This window comes from Homo sapiens, chromosome 13 (assembly GCF_000001405.40).
Source record: "Homo sapiens chromosome 13, GRCh38.p14 Primary Assembly".
NCBI lineage: Eukaryota > Metazoa > Chordata > Mammalia > Primates > Hominidae > Homo > Homo sapiens.
In genome coordinates, this window is record NC_000013.11 from 43,785,185 (window position 1) to 43,806,458 (window position 21,274).

Sequence of the window (21,274 nt, forward strand, 5' to 3'; positions counted from 1 at the left end):
GCAACGCTAGTAAAACAAAAGCAGAGTGTGTTAACCATAAACTAAGTACCAGCCAATATTACCACTTTGCTTGACAGAGCCGTCTCCAACAGCACGCACCCACCTCTCGAGCGGGCCCACCAGCTCAGCTTTCCAAGCTCGCTCACCTGCGTCTCTCCTCCAGGAATCAATTTCCTTCCCACTTTCTCCACCCTCTTCAGATCCCTTAAGCACGCTTCATTGCTTTCTCCAAACTACCAGACTCAAATCTGCAGCCCAGTTGGCCAGGAACCTTTCCATACGCACGTATTTCCTGCATTCTCCTGGGTCTGCTTTTAAAAATTGCTACCACCAAACAAATGCAATCTTAACAAAATTGGGATTACAAAGCCAGTTTTTTTCATGTAATGTTACAGCAGTGAAAGATTGAGGGAGAGAAAAGGAGAGAAGCAGGAGTGTATCTGGGTGAAGAAGCGTGGCTCAGTGGCTATACAGTGAGACGCAGAGATTCCACAGAGCTGGGCTTGCCCACCTGTCGACCCCACTTTCCCCATGTGCTCGCCGCGGGATGACAACCACAACACTCCAGAACCACCCCCCTTCCGAAAGAGGGCGGGGTTACGCCTTCAGCCAATCAGGACCCGCGAGCCCCGGGTGTCCAACCTATGGGGTGGCTGTGGCCGTGCAGGGGGAGGACGTGGGGTGGTCTGGGAGGGGCCGCGTCCGTGGGAGGCTCGCACGTGTCGGGTCCGGAGAGGCGGGGAGGCGGCCGGCGTCCAGCGGCCGAGGCGCGGGCTCTGCACCCTGGCAGCGGCCGAGTCCGGCTGCCCCAGTGCCTCCTTTACCTCGCGTTGGGCCAGGCAGGGCGCGCTCCCGCCGACGAAGACCTGTCCAAGGTGTCCGAGCTCCCCGCGAGAGGGGACAGTCACGAATAACAACAGTACCCAGCGCAGACTAGGCGGGGAGGAAAGTTTCCGGCCCGCAGCAGAGCGGAGTCCGCCAAGGCTGGAGGAAAAGGGATGCAGAGCGGGAGGGTGAAAACCTGAAAGAAGAGGGCAGCGGGAACACTGTGTGGGCAGGAACGGGTCCCGGGGGCGACGCCCGCAGGGGGAGACGGGTGCGGGGTGCGCTGTCCAAGGTGCAGGGGAGGTGACTGGCGCGCGGCGGGCGCGGAGCCCGGAGCTGACACTGGCTGGCGGGCGGAGGGGAGAGCGGGGAACAGCTGTCTGGGGCGCTGGGCACCCCCGGGCGCGTAAAAGTGAGGGAGCTTGAGACGGGGCACGGCGGGGAAGGGCGTGGGGGCTGCACCGAAGCCCCCACGCGTCCACGCACCCCTCCTCACCAGCCTCACCTCTAGCTCCACTCCCCTCCCCCCTCGCCCACTCCCCTCTCAGTCTAGATCCAGGTGCCGTGGCGGGGGTGAGACCAGAGGACCCCGGCTCGGAGCCCGGACGCCCCAGGGAGGCTGCGGGCCCCGGAGCTGCTTACCTGGGGCCGCCGTATGGGGAGCGGAGGCAACCCGCTGCGCGGAGTGGGGCGCCGGGCGCGGCGCGGCTCCTCCTAGCCTCGGCGTCCTCCTCCTCCTTTGCTTCTCCCGGACTCTGTCCCGGGCACGGAGCTGGGAGACGCGGCCGGGCTGCAGTCGCCGTTCCCTCTGCTGCCGCCGCCGCTGCAGCAGACAGAGGACGCCCCGTGGCGGCTGGAAGCCTGTGTGAGTAGCGGCGCCCGGGAGAGCGGGGATCTGCTGAGGGGCGCTGGAGACTCCGCGGCTGGAGGCGCGCGGGCGTGCGCACGCGCGCCTGCGAGTGTGAGTGTATGGGTGCGCGCGCGCCCACGGGGTGGGGGAGTCGCGAGGGGAGGGGGAGAGAGGCCGAGAGATGCTCGTAGGGACCGAGGCAAAATTCTACGACCCCGGAAATCCGTAAACGCGGGGAAGGAGGATCGAACGCGTGTCTCGCTTGGAGAAGCTGCCCACGGGGCGGCAGCAGAGGAGGAGGGGAAGTCAGCGAGGCGCGCTAGGGCTCCGGATCCCAGCCCGGCAGAGCCGAGCGGAGCGCGCAGCCACCGATGCAGCAGAGGCGGCGCCCGCAGCCCACGGTCGCGCTGCCCCCTCTCGGGAGGGGCCGAGGCCGCTCGCTCCCGCCACCGCCGCCGCGGTCGGGACTGCTCTACTGGGAGCGGGGGAACCGAGAGAGGGACCGCACGGTTGCTACGGCGACCTTGGAGGGGCCGGGCCCGCTGAAGGGCCAAGAGAAGAACCCGGGCGCACGTGGCCGACTCCAGGCTGGAGCGGGCGTGTTACAGGATTGTGGGCTTGGGGTAGACGGTGGAATTGGGCCGCGTGGCCTGGGCAGATGATGCGGGGTGTGCGGCCCAGAGTGGCTCGGCCGGGGTGCGGTCAGCATTCAGGTTGGTAAGGGTGAGGGGATCCTAACCCCAGGTGACATGTTGCCTTTTTTTCCTCCTTGGAGGCTACTTTTTCTCAAAGTTACCCACTTCCCAGGTAAGAATGCCGGCCTCCTCTTTGTTAGGATTCAACTTAGCTGTGCAGGCATCTAAGCAGTGCCTCCTTAGAGTCAGGCTCGTCCAAGAACCGCTCCCACCACCTCCCCACACACACCCACATCCCCCGATCCTCCATCCCAACTACATTGTAATACTTCAGAAATAAATGTTTAAAGCACATTTACATTCTCTGCCTCTTAACAGATATATTGTCTTAGTAGTATACTTTTCCTTGCTTATTTTAAATTCTGAGTGGGATTTTATTCACACAAGCATTTCTTCAAGGGTCGTAAGGTCTGGGTAATACTTGAAATACCCTTTCTGGCAGGAATCCTCAATGCAGGGATTGTGTTTTGCACACTTTTGCATGCCTTCCAGTGCTTAGCATAGTACTCTGTACTTTGTGAGTTCCCTGTAAATGTTGAATGAATGACATTGTTTTCTAGCTTCACGTAACCTGAAGGCAAAGACTTGGATGCTGGGAAAGTCATTACCACCCCACTAGGCTTGCCTGATTTTAACTTATGCCATTTCCTTGTGTGTGGCTATTTTTCCCCCTGGCGGTCAGAACCCCAATGCAAAGAAAGAAAATAATACTTATCCATTGTGCACCCTTAACAAAGGATGCATGTAGAAGCACTCTGCAGGGACCCCAGTGGGATGCCCTGGGTGTGAGGGGGCCAAAGCTCAGAACCTAACCTCTCAAAATGTGAAAGTCAGTGTTCACCAGCAGTTTATACTGTCCCTTCTAGAGCAGAAGGATGGGGAAAACAGTTTTAAGAGAAATACACTTTTGTTTTTTGTTTTTTGAGACGGAACCTCGCTCTGTCACCCAGGCTGGAGTGCAGTGGCGCGATCTCGGCTCACTGCAACCTCTGCCTCCCGGGTTCAAGCGAATTCTCCTGCCTCAGCCTCCTAGTAGCTAGGATTACAGGCGCCGGCCACCACGCTCGGCTAATTTTTTTTTTTTTTTTTTTTTTTTTTTTTTTTTAGTTTTTAGTTTTTAGTAGAGACACAGTTTCACCATGTTTTCCAGACTGGTCTCCAACTCCTGACCTCAAGTGATCCGCCTGCCTCGGCCTCCCAAAGTGCTGGGATTACAGGCATGAGCCACCGCTCCAGGCCAGAAATACACATTTCTAATAGCTTATCAGGTACGCATTTTTCTCCTGTAAAGAGTAGTGTTCATGGACACTGACCAATACATGCAGGGTCACCCCAGACTGCTAATTCTGCTGTCTGGTGTAGCACCAAGTCCACATCCTTCGACCTCGGTATTTCTACAATCATCGTCTTAGAAGCAGAAGTCTTCAATTTTGCATTTCATGCTAAATTTCAATTCCTTTGAACTCAGGCCCGCCTATGAGCTGCTTCTCTCTCCACTCATGATACCACAGCTGTGAAATATAACTGAAATAAAGTGAAAATTAAAATGGATTTATTTGGGTACCGTGTGTTCTTTAGTGGGGGTCCCTTTAACTGATTTATCTACCTTCACTCAATTGACAATCTTCTTAGAAGACATTTGTTGTGATATTGGAGCTTTTTTATTAGGTTGAAAGCTTACTTAAATTTCTCACTTGAAAGGAAGCTCTAAAACTTGCAAAAGAAGCAGAAAAACTCTGATACCGAAAATGGACCCTTGACAGCCAACCTATAGAATGGGTATGAGTCAGAATTTTCCAAAACAATTTTAAAGCTTCATTTTCCTTAGAAAGTTGCTTTTAGGGTTTTGTTGGGCTCAGAAACTAATACCGGAAAATATGGCACTTTGACATGCTGGACTGAAGAAGCAGCCTCAAAGTCTCTCTGACCCTCTCTCTGCCTCCTGTCTCTCAGTCGTCTGTCTCACCCAAAGCACAGGATGAAATTGTTCTCTGAAGGTCTTTCATCTGCCTAGAAACCAGATCTGCCAAAGAAGAACGCACTTGCCTTCCCTGAGTTTTTATTAATCTAACTCACGTCGTAGGAAGAAAGATTGAAGCCTGTCAACACAACTGGACATACTTTTGTCACACTCCTCTGCGGGCCCAACAGACTTTATCCCAGGCCATTTTATGTTCACCAAGCTCATTGAATTCCACTAAAAATTCTTTACTATCCCCCTTAAAATCATCCACATTTCCCTTTCTATTCTTCCCCTATGAAGAAGGGTATATGAGCATCTGTGTACCCCACTGGGTTATTGGGCAATCATTCTCCTGCAATTCCCTTGGATTATGCACATGAAAATAAGTTTTGTATGTCTTTTCTCCTATTAATCTGCTTTTTGCGAGGTGATTTTCAGTGAACCTTCAGAAGGTTGAAATCCCTAGTTTCAACAGCTTCCCAAGTGCTTGTCTTACTTGGTGGGTGGGAGGAATGTTAATAAAGCTGTAACTTCTCTGATGACCACCAAAGGGGACAGTCTTGTCTTCGTAAAAACAAATATAAGAAGCCAGCACCTAAGAATGTAGGCATATCACAAGCTTAATGTATGTTAACTTAAAAATAATGTATGTTAACTTAAATAAGTTAATGTATGTTAAAAGGTAATAGAAGGAAAGAATAACAACATAGATATATAGGTTTCTGACCAACTTAAACATAAAAGTTTGGAGGAGCAAATAGGGTTATATGCTATCATCCCCATAGCTCCTTCTGCTACTTAAGTACTAGGTAATAATAAAATGTACAGCTGAGAGGTTCATTTTTATTTGTTATTATCAGCCGGATTTAAAATCAATAGCATATTTGTAAAAGTTCTATTTTTCTTCCTAAAGGGAATGTTCCTTAACATAACTGCTTTTTTCAGTTTGCAGCAGTGCAGTAAACTAGTCAATCATTAACTTAAAAACACAGGATGGTGAAGGTGTGGGGCCTGTGGAGAAACACTCTAAACTTATTTGATCACAACTGTTTTGTCAGTCTAAACTAAAAAAAAAAAAAAAAAAAAAAAAAAAAAAAAAAAAAAAAAAAAAAAAGGCTTTCTACCTTTAAAGACTGATGCATTTAGACTGTGAGATGTACCGTGAATTCCAAAGTCAACTCCTCATTCTAGGAGCCCATTGCCCCAAATCCTCTGAAGTGAGAAGGCAGGGACCGTTAGCTGAAATGCTGTTGATTTTAGTGGCTGTGAGCACACATAAGGATACAGGTCATTTCCCTTATAATTAGGTCCCAGATCACTTAGTCCATTAGAGTTTTAAATGATAAAAAAAAAAAAACACCTTGACCTGCACCTGGAAAGAAAGTACCAACACAGTCCAGAGTATAGTACAGGAACAAGAAGCAGCCTCAAGTCATCCTATTTGTATCCATGTCTTTAAACATTGCCTTATTCCACATACTATTTAGGAAAACTTAATTCTGACTGGAGATCAGACATCTTTAGGAAGGTAAAAAAAATCAGAGAAAAAAATGTTATAGTTTATACTAAGCAAAACAAGACCGGTTTTCTTTCTTAGTCATCATTGCTGACATTTGGGGTGCAGGTAGATATACTTGGTGTCAGTGGTTCTAACAGTTTATGGAGCTGTGTATTTCCAAGAAACTGAAGAAAGCTATGGATCCTTTCTTCAGGAAAATGAACCTATTAATGTATAAAAAATGTTTAAATAAAATTTCAGGGAGTTAAAGGAACTTCCTCTGAAGCTCACATTAAGAGCTACTGCCTAATATAGATTAATTGCACCATGACATTTTATGGCTAAAGGGAAAAGAATTGGTAGATTTACTAATCTCACTTCTATTTTTAATCTAATAATTTATTTGATTGTCAACACCAAGAAGATGCATAAGCAAATCAGTAAACTGAACAAGTATTTATTGAGTACCTACTTCATAATCAGTTCTGTTCTTCAAGCTGTGTTTGTTACCAATAAAGTATAAAATACGATCTATCTATTCCTTTAGGGAGCCTATAGTGTAGTAATCATTATTCTTGAGGACAAAAAAAGTGAACATAAGCGTAATTTATCACTTGACCAGGTGCAACAAACTTCAATTTGAATTACCAGTAGGACTTAATAAAGCTATTTGTTAAATAAATAAACCACTTGGGTAATAATTGATTATCAGTGGCCAATGTATATATGCATATTTTCATATTCATATTCCCTAGTAGCAATCATTTAGATGATCACACCATATATAATGTAAAAAGCTAGTCTATTGCTGTAGCATGAATTTTAGATTGAGGATATGAAGAAGTTGACAAGGAGAGATAGACCATGTGGGCAATGGCAGCTGTGGATTACCTTTCCCTGGGATCACTGGGCAGACTGGAATAAGTTAGAATATGCTAGAGCTTATATTTAACCCATCCAAGAATTTATAGGGCAACCCATGAACAGTATTTTGAAATTTCTATGTCTACAAAAACCCAGAAGTCTCTTCTTGTATAATTTTAACATTTTATTATTACTCTCCTTACAATTTTTAAAATTTTCACTTTCTCAATTTCTTTCCACTTATTAACACAGAATTATTTTTAATGTAGTTTTTAAAAACACAACTTCTTCACTCAATTCCTGACACAATTATGAAGAGTTAAAAAGCTCTTATAGAGTGAATTGACATAAAGCCATTTACTTAATTAGAGCTGTTTGAAGCCCAACCATCCATGTATTGAATGCTTTATATAACCTGCCTCCCGATGGGCCCCAGAGGCTTCATGTGGGGAAGCTAGGACTGTTAGTGCTATCTTTTGATTTTTCAAGAGGTGGTCTTAGCACAGCATTAAAATAACACAGGATACTGAATCATAAGATCTGAGTTCAAATCCCAGCCCAGGCAACAACTTGCTGTGTGAGATTGTGCACCACACTTTCCGAGCTTCACTTGCCCCCGTCTGGGAAATGTGGATAATAACACCTACCTCATCAGTTTCTTAAGAAGCTTACATCAAGTAACATTAAGTTACATTAAGTAACATGAGAAAGAGTCCCTTTGTTGTGTTGTAGGAATTCAGTAAATCTTTGTAGACCTTGGATCTAAATCAAAAGTGTGTGGCAGAAAATTGGAACACAGTCATGAATAGGAAGCTCCTGTAGAAATTTTAAATCTTTATTATAATGTTGAACTGAGCTGATTTCCTGGGAGTCCCTTCCAAGGATATTTTAAGAAAACCACAGACAACCAAAAGTTGGCAGAAACTGACACATGCAGGAAATTGTGGATTCCATAATTCTAGAGGTGCTGTAATTCTATAAATTCTGCTGCTGTTACAAAACCCAAGCTTTGTGTTCATTTGTTTTTAATTAGTCTCTGTTTTGTTTCTGTCACACATATTCTGCCTCCCCAATGGTGCTTTGCCCTGCTAATTTAACTATGCGAACATTCATTTTATAGATTAATACCAACTGTGAAAATGTCTCTCTTTTAAACAAAAATAGTTCACTGTCCTCTCTTCCCCACCACATCCCAATTGTAAAAGTAGTGTGTGTGCTTACGGAGAAAAAATAGGCAATACAAAAATGTATAAAGAAAAAGATTGGCCAGGCGCGGTGGCTCACGCCTGTAATCCTAGCACTTTGGGAGGCTATGGAGAGTGGATTGCCTGAGCTCAGGAGTTCGAGACCAGCGTGGGCAATATGGCAAAACCCTGTCTCTACTAAAAACATAAAAAATTAGCCAGGTGTGATGGTGGGCGCCTGCAATCTCAGCTACCTGGGAGGCTGGGGCAGGAGAATCGCTTGCACCTGGGAGGCGGAGGTTGCAATGAGCTGAGATCGTGCCACTGCACTCCAGCCTAAGCAACACAGCGAAACTCTGTTTCCAAAAAAAAAAAAAAAAATGCAGTAAGTAGTATTGCCTCTCAGGGACCAAGTACGATTACTATTTTGGTGTATACCCTTCCAGACATTTTCTTTGCATATATTTGTTCTACTTAAAAGTCATTCAGGTTGGCCAGGCACGGTGGCTCACGTCTGTAATCCCAGCACTTTGGGAGGCCGAGGCAGGCGGATCACTTGAGGTCAGGAGTTCGAGAACAGCCTGACCAACATGGTGAAACCCCTGTCTCTACGAAAAATACAAAAAATTAGCTGGGCATGGTGGCATGTGCCTGTAATCCCAGCTACTGGGGAGGCTGAGGCAGGAGAATCGCTTGAACCCGAGAGGCAGAGGTTGCAGTGAGCCAAGATCAAGCCATTACACTTCAGCCTGGGGGACAGCAAGACTCTATCTCAAAAAAAAAAAAAAAAAAAAGTCATCCAAGTCAAGATTCAGCCATTTTTAATGTTACCATTTTAGAAACAAACAGTTAAAACACTTTCACAAAAAGGCTCAAATGTGTTTCTTTTCCTTTCCTACACCTTCTTTCCAAGATAGGCTCTTTGCTCAGCAAGTCCTTTTTTTTTTTTTTTTTTTTTTGAGACGGAGTCTCGCTCTGTCGCCCAGGCCGGACTGCGGACTGCAGTGGCGCAATCTCGGCTCACTGCAAGCTCCGCTTCCCGGGTTCACGCCACTCTCCTGCCTCAGCCTCCCGAGTAGCTGGGACTACAGGCGCCCGCCACCGCGCCCGGCTAATTTTTTGTATTTTTAGTAGAGACGGGGTTTCACCTTGTTAGCCAGGATGGTCTCGATCTCCTGACCTCATGATCCACCCGCCTCCGCCTCCCAAAGTGCTGGGATTACAGGCGTGAGCCACCGCGCCCGGCCTCAGCAAGTCCTTTAAAACAGGATTTTCACTGGTCATCATTGAAACTTCTTTTTATATTTCCCCACTTTTAACACTTCTAATAATTAATACTTTTAATGGCCCTTTAAAAACTTAATCTCACCTTGTGCTGATGCTGATGTGTTCTGGAGTCACAAGCCCTGCCCTTGGCCTCTGGCCATTCTGTGGGTGCTTTGCATTACTTAACCTCTACCCCCAAAATGAGGTCCAGTGCTAACCTTGGATTTGGTACTGCATTCCCTCAGAGCAGAAAAGATTCTTGATTTCAATAAGTAACCAGAGTGTTCATTGGAGTGACCATCTACATACTGCCTCTGCAGAAGCTTGGCCCAGAGGTGGTGAATTATTTGAATTCATGTTTTATGTCCATTGCTGCAGGCAAATTTTGGAAAGTTTGTTTTATTTTGCTTTGAAGAATCTATAAACATTCCTTAACAATTAATGCAAATGATAGCTAAAATTCCAATAGAATTTCCTACTTCTGCAGTTCAGTATGCACACTAGTTTACCCAGGAAGGTATCACTATTAATAAAAAGTCTAACAGTGTTTATAATTTTGCCAATTTGCTAGTTGTATAGAGGGATATGGGTTCCCAAAGTAAAAGAGCTTCAATCCCAGCCCATCCCATTCTGCAAATCTGAGACAGAATTCTAGTGCCACTCTTAAAATGAAAGCTAGAGAACTGGTGGAAGAAGAAAGGAAGGAAGGGGAGGGAGAGAACACGAGGTGGGATTAATTATCTATAGGAGTTCTCTGTAGAATATACACACTATATTGTAAATTATGAAAGTTCTAAGTACAATTCATGTGCAAGTCTTTTCTCAGAACACAATGAGATAATAAAATGGGACATTCATAAGACAAGCTGTATCTTGGAAACTCTATACATGGTATAACAATATACCCTGAAAAGTTTTGGTAAGTGCTAAATTGCAAAAGAAGAATCAAAGAATGGGTATATTGTCTCTAGCATTAATCAGTGAAGAGAGAGTCATCATGTTTAAGAAATTAGAGAATTTTAGCACTGGAAAGGTGAACTAATTGCACAGGGGCACTTATCTTGATTCTTTTGTGTGCTAGGTGCTGTAGATGTATTTGCATAGGTCCACCTTGGGCTGAAAAGTGACCTTGGGCAGGAGGAGGTACTGAAGTCTTTATTCAGAGATGTCAAGTTTATAGCATTAAATCTGAAAAATGAGGTGAGAGCAGAAACAGAAACTCTGGAACTGAGAGGATGAGGCCAGGGGTCCAGAACCAAGTTTGTGAGAGTTGAGTGGACGCAGAATGCGCCTCATATGTGATACCTGGCTTAGATAAAGTCCAAAGAGATGGAGGCTCTCCACTTTTATTTCCTTTGACTGCATCATCAGAAACCAGTCTTGAATATTATACAACCATATTTGACCAGAAGGATTAAAAATGAAAATAAGTATCAAAACATTTTTAAATGTAACTACTTTGGTGGCAGTTCTACTAAAATAAAGTATGTTGTTCCTTTAACTTAATATTCACAAATCAGAATCATCAGAATAAATATTAATATTTAATGGAAAGATAGGCAAGCATGGAAAAGTAAAAGTATTATGAGATTTACCATCAGATTGAGCTGGATTTGAATCATGGGTCTATCAGAAGTGAACTTGGGTAAACTTCATAACCTTGATATCCTCATCTGAAAATAGAGATTATTTAATACCTATCTCTTAGGACTTTTTATGAAGATGAAATGAGACAATGTGAAGCATTCCCTTCTTCCCTAACATTGACATACCTACCTTATTAAGTGATTTTGGATATAACCACTGTCACTGACCCCCAAGGGATACCAGGTGTATGTAGAGTTTACCTTCCTTCTCTACCAAACAGACCACGGAGGTCACCTGTGTGGTTCCTCTGTGCTTCTTCAAGATGTCAGCTGGCTCTTCTTGTTTCTCTCAGTGTGACTGACTGTAGATTCTTATCGGCTCAAAAGAGAACCTATTACATAGACTCTGGAACATCTATGTTTCATTATGAATTCTCTCTTTACTAGCTTCCCATATCTAAGCTGCATTCTAAATGAATAAAGTACTACTGGAACCTTGTTTTTCAGACACATTGATATCTGTACAAGAACAGCCCAGCAGAAAATATATACATCTGCCCTTCCTCCTTCCAGCTCAACTCCCCAGCCCTCATGTCACACCATACTCTCATGCTGTAAATCAGTTTCCTATGATTTTAGTTAAAATGATTCCATCGCTCAGGGCTAGACCACTCCTCAACTTTTATTTATTTATTTATTTATTTATTTATTTATTTATTTATTTGAGACGGAGTCTCACTCTGTCGCCCAGGCTGGAGTGCAGTGGCACAATTTCAGCTCACTGCAACCTCCACTGCCTGGGTTCAAGCGATTCTCCTGCCTCAGCCTCCCCAGTAGCTGGGATTACAGGTGCATGCCACCATGCCTGGCTAATTTTTTTATTTTTAATAGAGACAGGGTTTCACCATATTGGCCAGGCTGGTCTCGAACTCCTGACCTCAGGTGATCCTCCCACCTCAGCCTCCCAAAGTGCTGGGATTACAGGTGTGAGCCACTGTGCCTGGCCTGCTCCTCAACTTTTAAAACTGCAAAACTGTGGATCCAGCCCCAGACCATAAAGGTCCTCTCATTAAGGAGATGCCTCTTTCGTATGACCCAGCCAGAAACATTTGGTGAGTTTCTTTCATATTATAAAAATCACAAGTGTTTGAAATAAATGAATTCAAGTTCTTCCCATATCTAAAACATTCTATGAGTCAAATTTTCACATTTAGAGATTCAGTCTGTATATTTATGTTTCTTAATCTGTGGCATGAGGGATTTAATCAAAGTATAAAGAGTTTCCTGGCAATGAAAGTGATTGTACCCAACATGAGTTAATAAGAAAGAAGATGGAATTGTCTTCTCTGAAGATCTTTATAGTTTTTTTCAAAGTATTTATGCACAGTCCTTCCTAAAGCCAGACACTGAAGATCAATCAAGTACTCTTCTCGTCAAAAGATTCTCTGATGCTATAGAAACTCTAGATTGTGGTTTTATTCTGACACATTTTGGTAGTTTTGTTCTGTGACAATTATAGGAGAAAAAAATGAAAGGGTAAAGAAATGACAATTGGCTTTTAGCAGCTGTTTTAGTGAGACAATCTACATTTTAGATTCCAGAATGGAGTTACTAGTCCATCAGAGGAGAAACAAGATTTTGTTCTTATTGTAGCAAAAGATCTTGTGTTAATGTTAAAGATATTGTTCTTATTGTGGAGAAAGAGAGAGAGAGAGAGAGAGTTATCTTTTACCCTGACTTCGGTGAAGGGGTCATGAAGTAATCTGTTCTTGGACCAGAAGACTGTTGGATTTCAAGGAAATCATTAAAGTTTTGCTAACAACCATGCTTAATTATTTGAATGTGTATGTGTTTTGTTTGTCTAGTCTTGTCATTAATACAATTAACTAGAATCCTGTTTGATTCTTGAAATTGAAATGTCAATTGTGACTTTGTCTTACTTTTCTCTAAAACCATTTTCACTCTCTTTTTAGAGATCATTTTTGCACATGCTTACCTATTACTATATAAAAATAAAATAACTGCTTTAAACATTTTAGTGAATATCCTATCGAGGCTCTCTTTTGAGCATCCTAACAAATATGAAAGAAATACGTGCTATGCATACACAGAACCACACTCCACAATTAAACCCTCACAGTGACATTCCTTAAGGAGGCAGTGTTAGCCTGGAAGAACCGTTTTATAAAATCCTTCTAAAGATTGCATCACTTTGAAAGCCAATGAAATTGATTTGTAAACTCTAGAACTAGATTAAGATGAGGAGTATGAGGGAAAATGTTTCCAAATTCAACTTTTGCTTTGAATTTTCTTTTAAATTTATTTTCCAGAGTTTCTTTTTTCCCCAGCCATAATAAAGCAGTCTTTATTCCATAAGAAAGCAGTATTATGATACTGCTTTATTTTAGACCATTGATTTACTTTTGTGAATTGAAGATAAATAATGCACATATCTTCATGTCAGAAAACTTAGGTTGACGCCATGGGTCTCCTTCTTACTGTCTTGCTTTGAGTAAATTATTTTGCCAACTTCTGTCCCAACTTTTTCATCTCTAAATTAGAGATAATGATTATGCTCATCCCCAAAGTTATTATGAGAATTAAATTAAAATGTTTGCATAAAAATTTTGAAAAATCTGAGGCATTGTACAAATGCTAACATATTTTGGGGTATTGCTATAGTTGTTACTATTTTAAATATTAATATTTTCAAAGCTAAATAATAGTATCATAGTGGAACTACTTGGCATAGTTTACTGAGCACAGCAAACAGTCCACTTGCAAATTGGGTTGTTCTTCATCTCATGCCTATATCAATGTTTCCCCCATCTAGGACGCAGTGTAATTTAAAGCATGTAACAAGATGTTCAGTACATTTTTTGGTCTCACCTGCCCCATGCCTCTTTCTTTCCTTCTTTCCAATTTCATTTTTTTTCAATCCTCTTGTATCTTTCTTTTCTTCTTTTTTTAAATCATTTAGGTTATCATTTTTCACAATAAGCAAATATCTTAAGAACTATGAAAAATGCCCATAGCACTTTCCATCTAAAAAATACATAAGCCTTTTATAAATACATTAGTGATCATCACAAAATATTGTCTACCTTGAATGTTTTCTCATCTTTTTATCATGCATGTCTGCCTGGTTTAAAATCACAGGGCAGGAACTCTGTCTAATTCTATTTGTAAATCAGAGAGAGAGTGTTGTTGTTCAATAAATGCCAAGAAGCAACAACATCCATATGAGGTGAATAGGTGGAAATTATTATTTCTGTCTATAGCAAGGTGAAAATAAAATGAGTGCTTTACAATTTTCAAAGCATTCTCATATCGATTATCTCATTTGTACATCACACCGACAATGGGAGAAAGCCAGATGGAGCAGTTTTACTGTTATCCTCTTTCTGTCCTTGTATGATAGTGGAAAGTGAGACTAAGAGGTTAAGTGCCTTGTCCACGTCATCAGGGAAATCCCAGCCTACAGGATCTCTACCCTGCTCTTCTGGTTTTAAGTTGGTACAAATATTTGCGCATTCTTATGGAGTGCATGTGATATTTTGTTACATGTAATGATTAAGTCAGGGTATTCCAGGTATCCATTACCTTGAGTATTTGTCATTTCTATGTGTTGGGGACAGTTCAAGTCCCCTTTCTAGCTATTTTGAAATATAAAATACATTGTTGTTAACTATAGTCACCCCATTCTGCTAGTGAATATTAAAACTTAGCCCTTCTACCTAACTATATGTTCGTACACATTAACCTGCCTCTTGTTATCCCTCTCCCACCCACTCAGCCTTCCCAGATTCTGCTATCTGTCATTCTATTCTCTACGTCCTTATAAGTAACTTTTTTAGTTCCCGCATATGAGTGAGAACATGAAGCATCTGTCTTTCCATGCCTGTTCTTATTTCACTTACCATAATGACCTCTAATTCCATCCATGTTGCTGTATATGACAGGATTTCATTCTTACATTTTCTTTATCCATTTGTCTGCTGATGGACACTTAGGTTGATTCCATACCTTTGCTATTGTAAGTAGTACTGCAATAAACATGGGAGTGCAGATATCGAACTTTTTATCCTTTGAGTAAATACCCAAGAGTGGGATTGCTGAATCATATGGTAATTTCCCTGCCTTTCTCAACTAATGCTGCGGGAACTTCATAGTGATATGGGTCTTGACAGGTCTTGAACATGACAAGAAGTATATCTATTTTGTTACCTTTGTGAGAGAGCACTTAACTCTGACTCTGGCCCACAGCCAGTGCTTAGTAAATAGTTGTTTAATTAAAATAAATAAATAAATAAATAATATTATAGACATCAAGTCAGCAGAACTCATGAACTAATTATTGAATCCATAGCAAGGCCTGACATCCTCGCCATCTTGGCTGCTGCTCAACCCACAAAATCCATTACATATTGTTAGTTTTCTGTTTCATTTAGTGAAACTTGTAATGCCAATTGTCAATACTACTTTCCAGTCATATCATTCTCCCAACTGCTGCTACTTCTATTCAGTAGCTCAGGTACATAGGCACTTCTTTAATAAACTTAATTATATCATGCAAAATGCAATCAATGGACGAGCACGAGCCTTAAAAAGTTTAAGCTTAACCTTTCATTTCATTAAGAAAATGTGTGATATGTTTATTTAAACCTTGTGAGTTGTCAAGCCCCAGAAGCCAGACACTGATATCAGGACGCATGTGACTTACAATTGAGAGTCTGCTATTCATGTCCTCTGTTTGTGTGAATGGCATATAAGAGTTCCAAGACATTTGTGTGTTATGTTGAGCTTTGAAGAATGTTGAGCACACAATCTGAATTTTATAATAAGAGAGTTGAAGAATCATAGAAAATAAAAGAAAGGTAAGAGAATGGCTGTGCATTTCTTAGTGGCTATTTTCTTTAAATGCGGCTGAAGACAGTCAGTAACATTAGCCATGCTAGATTTGGGCTGAAGGAAATGCTCAGATGTTAGTTGCTAGGAATGCCCTACAACTCTTGATTGTGCCAAATCAAATGACAATGCACATATATGATATATACACTAGCTTAGAGACCATATCAGCCTCCTTAACATCCTTTCTATATATACTGTAAGTTAGCAGATGCATTTTGGTCTTTCGGTAGCATTTTAGCTAAGTAACTTTTCAAAATGGTTCATCAAGGAAGCTGGTGGTTGAACTTAGTATATCTTATTTCTCAGAATCATAATCAACTCAAGAGACCACCAATCCTTTTTCACCCACACAGTCTTTCTTAAACACGCATATTGTTCTATTACAGCTAACTTCCTATCTTTAGTTCAGTTGTTCATTTTTCAGAAAAACTGACAAAACATCAATTAAATTATTTCTGTTAGAAGAAAAGCTTAAAGTGAAGACCTTATGATAATATATTCTAATAACATTTTGAATAATTATAGAATATACAATCCTGGATTCATTAGTGCATTCAGTGTCAACATGTGGTCATCCAGTTTTATTATCCCTTTAATAAAGCCATCTAAGATTTGTAAGTACTTTGCCAACTTCTCATATTAAGTCAAAGGCCTGAGGGACATGCAGAGAAAGTTCACAGGAGAAAGTGAGTCCCAGCTCTTTATTACACGCATATTGACACTAGTTAAATTTAAAAATGAAATTACCTAAATATCTGAGTAATATGTTTTACTTGTGTAAAGTACAATAGAATTTAAGAGGCCAAGGTGGCAGACCACTTCAGGTCAGGAGTTTGAGATTAGCCTGGCCAACATGGCGAAACCCCATCTCTACTAGAAATATAAACGTTAGCCAGGCATGGTAGCACATGCCTGTAATCCCAGCTACTAGGGAGTCTGAGGCAGGAGAATTGCTTGAACTCAGGGGGCGGAGGTTTCAGTGAACCAAGATCACACCACTGCACCTCTGCCTGGGTGACAGAGCAAGACTCCATCTCAAAAAAAATTTTTTAAGTAAATAAATAAATAAAATACTTATTGGGTGTTATTCAAGTGTGTGTATGTGGTGGTAGTGGGGGGTCATTTTTATTAATAGGAGTGAGAAAATGAATGGCTTAGAAATAATACAATGTCTTGTCCTTTGGTGTTCTGTTAATTCTACCAGTATATTTCACCATACTTAATATTCTGTACCATGTTGTTTTTGTTAAATTTTAAATGTGCTAATAGATGCTCATTAAAGTAATTCTGTTGTTATTTCTCTTAAAATAATCTTTTAAAATAATTATCCACAACTACTTTTTTGTTGTTGCAAGTCTAGATTTTCATATGTGAAGTCGCTTAAGGACTCACCTATGCTCTACGTCAATTTTTAATCAAGTATCGAACATCTACATTTCAGGTGTTGTGATAAAATACACCAATCACTTCCTGTAGGGCATGGATTATTATTCTCATTTTTTATAGATGAGAAAACTCTGCTTCAAAAAGGTTAAATAAGTTCCTAAGGTAAGAAAACTAATAAATGCTAGAACCTGTCTAGGAATCCAAATCTGTCTTTCTCCAAGGCCTATGCTCTTTTCAGTATAGCATGTAGCCTCTCAAAATTTAAAACTATCAAGGTTTATACAAATATATGCACTTTCACACACATATACACCCAGGCAGAGTAGGATTCTTTTCTTTTGAAAAATAGCCTTGACAACCAAAACATAATTGCATTGGAAAGACATGAGTTTTGATGGTGAACTTATGACATTTTGGTATATACCTGCCTTGGTTTTAACCTTTACAAAATCTCAATTAGCACTGGGCCAACCTTGATGAATCATCCTTGCTCTTAGTAAAGTAAATATGATTTGTGAAAGAGACAGTTTCCCATTTTCTGCACCTCTAAAGAGTTGTGTCATCAGGTATGAAAGCTAACAATAGATTTAATAAGCTGTTTATTTTTATAATGAGAGAAACCCTTATTATTCACTAGGAATAGACTGAATTGAGGGATACTATAATAGATGTCAGAAATAACAATTGAAATTCTGAATACATTAGAACCACAGCATGTTGCAGACCAATTAAAATTGACAACCAAGTGAAGCAAATACACATGGATAAATATAGAAAATTCAAGTTGCTGTTAGGGTGGGTTTTTTTCCTCTTTTCTCTTTACCACTTGATATTTTTCTTTCTTCTTGATATTTCAGTTCATTTTGTTAATCTTTTCCTGCTTGGCTTCTGAATTTTAATTAAATTGAAAGCTGACAGATAATCAAACTTTAATGCATTGTAGAATACCTTAGAACTTTGATGTATTTAGTGCCCTGATGTTGGGAAACTATCACTAACTAGAAATACCAGCATTTGTAGACAACATGTAATTTTCATAATCTTAAACAAAGATGGGAAAAATAGATGCTGTGCTAAACATTTCAGCCATGTGTTCACCTTTCTGTATTAAATTTAGTATTGGCAGCTGAGTAGGAGATTATAGGGTACAGCTGCTTTAACCTTCAACAGTAAATGATGCTTGTTGGATGTCTCCATGTGCCTCTAAAACCCAGGAAGCTTAAAAATGTAGGCTTGATGCTAATGATGAGAAAACACAGTAAATTAACATCACTTAGGTTGGAGGAGAGTTGGGATGAAATATATTGCTAATGAAGATTATGGAATTAATTTTTCTGAAGTTCTTGAAGAATGTTTTGTATAGGGCATGCAAAAAATTGATTAAGTTTGATAAAACAACATAAAAAATAAATACCTGGCAGGGTGGTACAGGGCATGGTGGTGCACGCTTGTAATCCCAGCACTTTGGGAGGCTGAGGTGGGTGGATTGCTTGAGCAGCCTGGGCAACATGGCAAAAACCCACCTCTACAAAAAAATACAAAAAAATTAGCTGAGTGTGGTGGCAGGCACCTGTAGTCCCAGCTACCTGGGAGGCTAAAGTGGGAGAATCCCCTGAGCTGGGAAGTCAAGATGTGATTGCACCACCGCACTCCAGCCCAGGTGACAGAGTGAAAGCCTGTCTCAAAACAAAACAAACAAAACCCAAACCAGATACCATTTATTGAGTACCACCTAGTATCTATCATGCGTTGTACTGGATGCTATACATTATCTAATTTTATTTTTGTAATACCCTATGGAGTAGGCATTATTATCACAAGTATACACATTATAAAATTGATGCTCAGAAAAGTTAATTACCATACCCAGGGTTACATGATTAGAGCTGAGACTGGAACGCCAAAGCCCATATCTGTGTCCCTTCTAATTTCAGTGACCTACCAACATCTATTATATATTAGTTCTCATGTCAAAAGATACAATAAAGTATTTGTTCATAAATGTATTATAATGTTTAAAAAATAATATTAGTGAACAGCTAGGTGTAATCCCAATACAGTTTCATTTAAACACAAATGTATTTCTGGCCTGAAGTTGATTTTTAACTTCCATCTTTTTTGAGGAAATGGCATCTGCAATGTATATGGGGGTTAGTGGGGGAGGAGAAAAACAGCAGTTCCAGGAACACTGAAAGAAAAGGATCAAGTTAAATGCTTTCTACTCTCAGACAAGATTAATAACCCTTAAAATACTTTTCTTATTTAATAAATTGTGACAGAATCACTCAATGTGGGCTCAGAAAAGGACAAAATGACTGGGCTCCTTACAAGTAATGTTTTTTTAAAAATTGAAACAAGATTTATACTAATCTGAAAACAAATATATTTCGGGGTAAGGGGAATCATTCCTCACTGAATTAATTTGTAAAAAGTAGCAAACACTGCCATCTGCTGGGCTTTAATTTTCTCTTTGTTATAGGTCTTGCGGATGATCATAGCTATTATGTATATTGAATACGTAAATAAGAAAGGACATCTGTTACTTGTTATGAAGATTTCAAGCTACCTAAAAATAATTGAGTGGCTATGTTTATTTCTTTATGAATACATTCTAAATCACTTTATTATTGGTGTTAACAGAAATATTCAGGAAAAACAAAATAATTACCTTCAAATAAATGTTATCTCAATATTTTGCAAAACCTTTTGAAGAAGAAAGTTAAACTCCCCTGCAGAGACGCATCACCCAGTAAAACTTGAGAGAAACTGTCACAGGTTTGTGAAATGATGCACTTTCTCTGCTCAGCTGACAACTCTTCTTCCCAAGCTGTCTGATCCGTCCCAGAGGCTAACATATTTCCCTCTTTACAAAAAAGAGGAGGAAAAGAGAACCACTTTTCCTAGCGAGGAGGCTGTGCCCTATGTAGTGTGTACAAATGATCATTCTATCCTTCCAGCATGGTGGAAAAGAGGGGGCTGAGTGTGCTGTACCCAATCCTCTCCAAAGGAGAACTCAGTGCCCTGGCTCATCTGACTCAGTCTTTGTCAATTCACTCAGGAAGATGGTTTGTGATTCACCCTCTGGTAACGCCTCAGTACAGTGTTTGTGTTCCTTGGATGATCTGCATCGGTTTCACCTGGGGAGTTTGTTGAAGCTGCATGTTCCTGGCCTGAACCCAAGAGATGCTGAATCATAAACCTCTGGTCTGGCATCCAGGAATCTGCATCAAACAGTCTATTCTTTTTTATTATTATTACTTTAAGTTCTGGGATACATGTGCAGAATGTGCAGGTTTGTTACATAGGTATACATATGCCATGGTGGTTTGCTTCATCCATCAACCCATCATCTAGGTTTTAAGCCTTCCATGCATTAGATATTTGTCCTAATGCTCTCCCGCCCCCCACCCCCCACCAAACACCCCCCACCCCCCACCCCCCACCGGTATGCGATGTTCCCCTCCCTGTGTCCATGTATTCTCATTCGAACAAGCTATTCTTATGCATTTTGGAGGCTGATAACCACTGACCAGAATCTTAGGATTCTTACTTTTGTAGCCTCCATGGGACCGAAGATCAAACTGCCAGTGGGAAGACTTACGATGCTTTATCCCAGGCCTTTCCAGCAAGGACTAGTTCTAGAGCCATGTAGCCCTGCACATCAGCGCCAGTTGTGGCACTTTGAAAAGTTCTGCTTCCTGGGTCCCATCTCAGTGATTGCGATTCACTGAGTACCTCCTCAGGCTGCACCAATGTACAGCCAGGCTTGGTAAGCCGCAGCTCTAGGGAAACTCCAGGATTACCCCTGCAAAGACAGTCCCCAGAAGACTGTGAAGCAGGCAGAACATGTTTGCTGTCTCCTACTGTCTTCTGCATATACCCTCCCCTTCCTCTTGATACTCCACCTCCTGCTGTGGGCACCTCCTCTCTCTTTCACTACCAATTCTCTGATTCCTTTCATTTATCCCATTTTTTTTTTTTTTTTTTTTTTTTTTTTTTTTTTTTTTTTTTTTTTTTTTTTTGAGACGGAGTCTCGCTCTGTCGCCCAGGCTGGAGTGCAGTGGCGGGATCTCGGCTCACTGCAAGCTCCGCCTCCCGGGTTCACGCCATTCTCCTGCCTCAGCCTCCCAAGTAGCTGGGACTACAGGCGCCCGCCACTACGCCCGGCTAATTTTTTTGTATTTTTAGTAGAGACGGGGTTTCACCGTTTTAGCCGGGATGGTCTCGATCTCTTGACCTCGTGATC

At 41.4% G+C, this 21,274-nt stretch overlaps 1 protein-coding gene across 27 annotated transcripts in view; it reads right to left on the minus strand.

Moving 5' to 3' along the window:
* Nucleotides 1-1,788, minus strand: part of ENOX1 (ecto-NOX disulfide-thiol exchanger 1) — a 573,843-nt gene extending 572,055 nt beyond the window's left edge. For 26 of the 27 annotated variants that reach the window (XR_007063686.1, NM_001347965.2, NM_001347963.2 and 23 more), the window contains exon 1: nt 1,468-1,788. The gene's annotated coding sequence lies outside the window, so the exon portion shown is untranslated. Of the gene's footprint in view, nt 1-443; nt 1,022-1,467 lie in introns of those variants that run through there. The other variant, NR_145132.2, reaches the window with a different exon arrangement.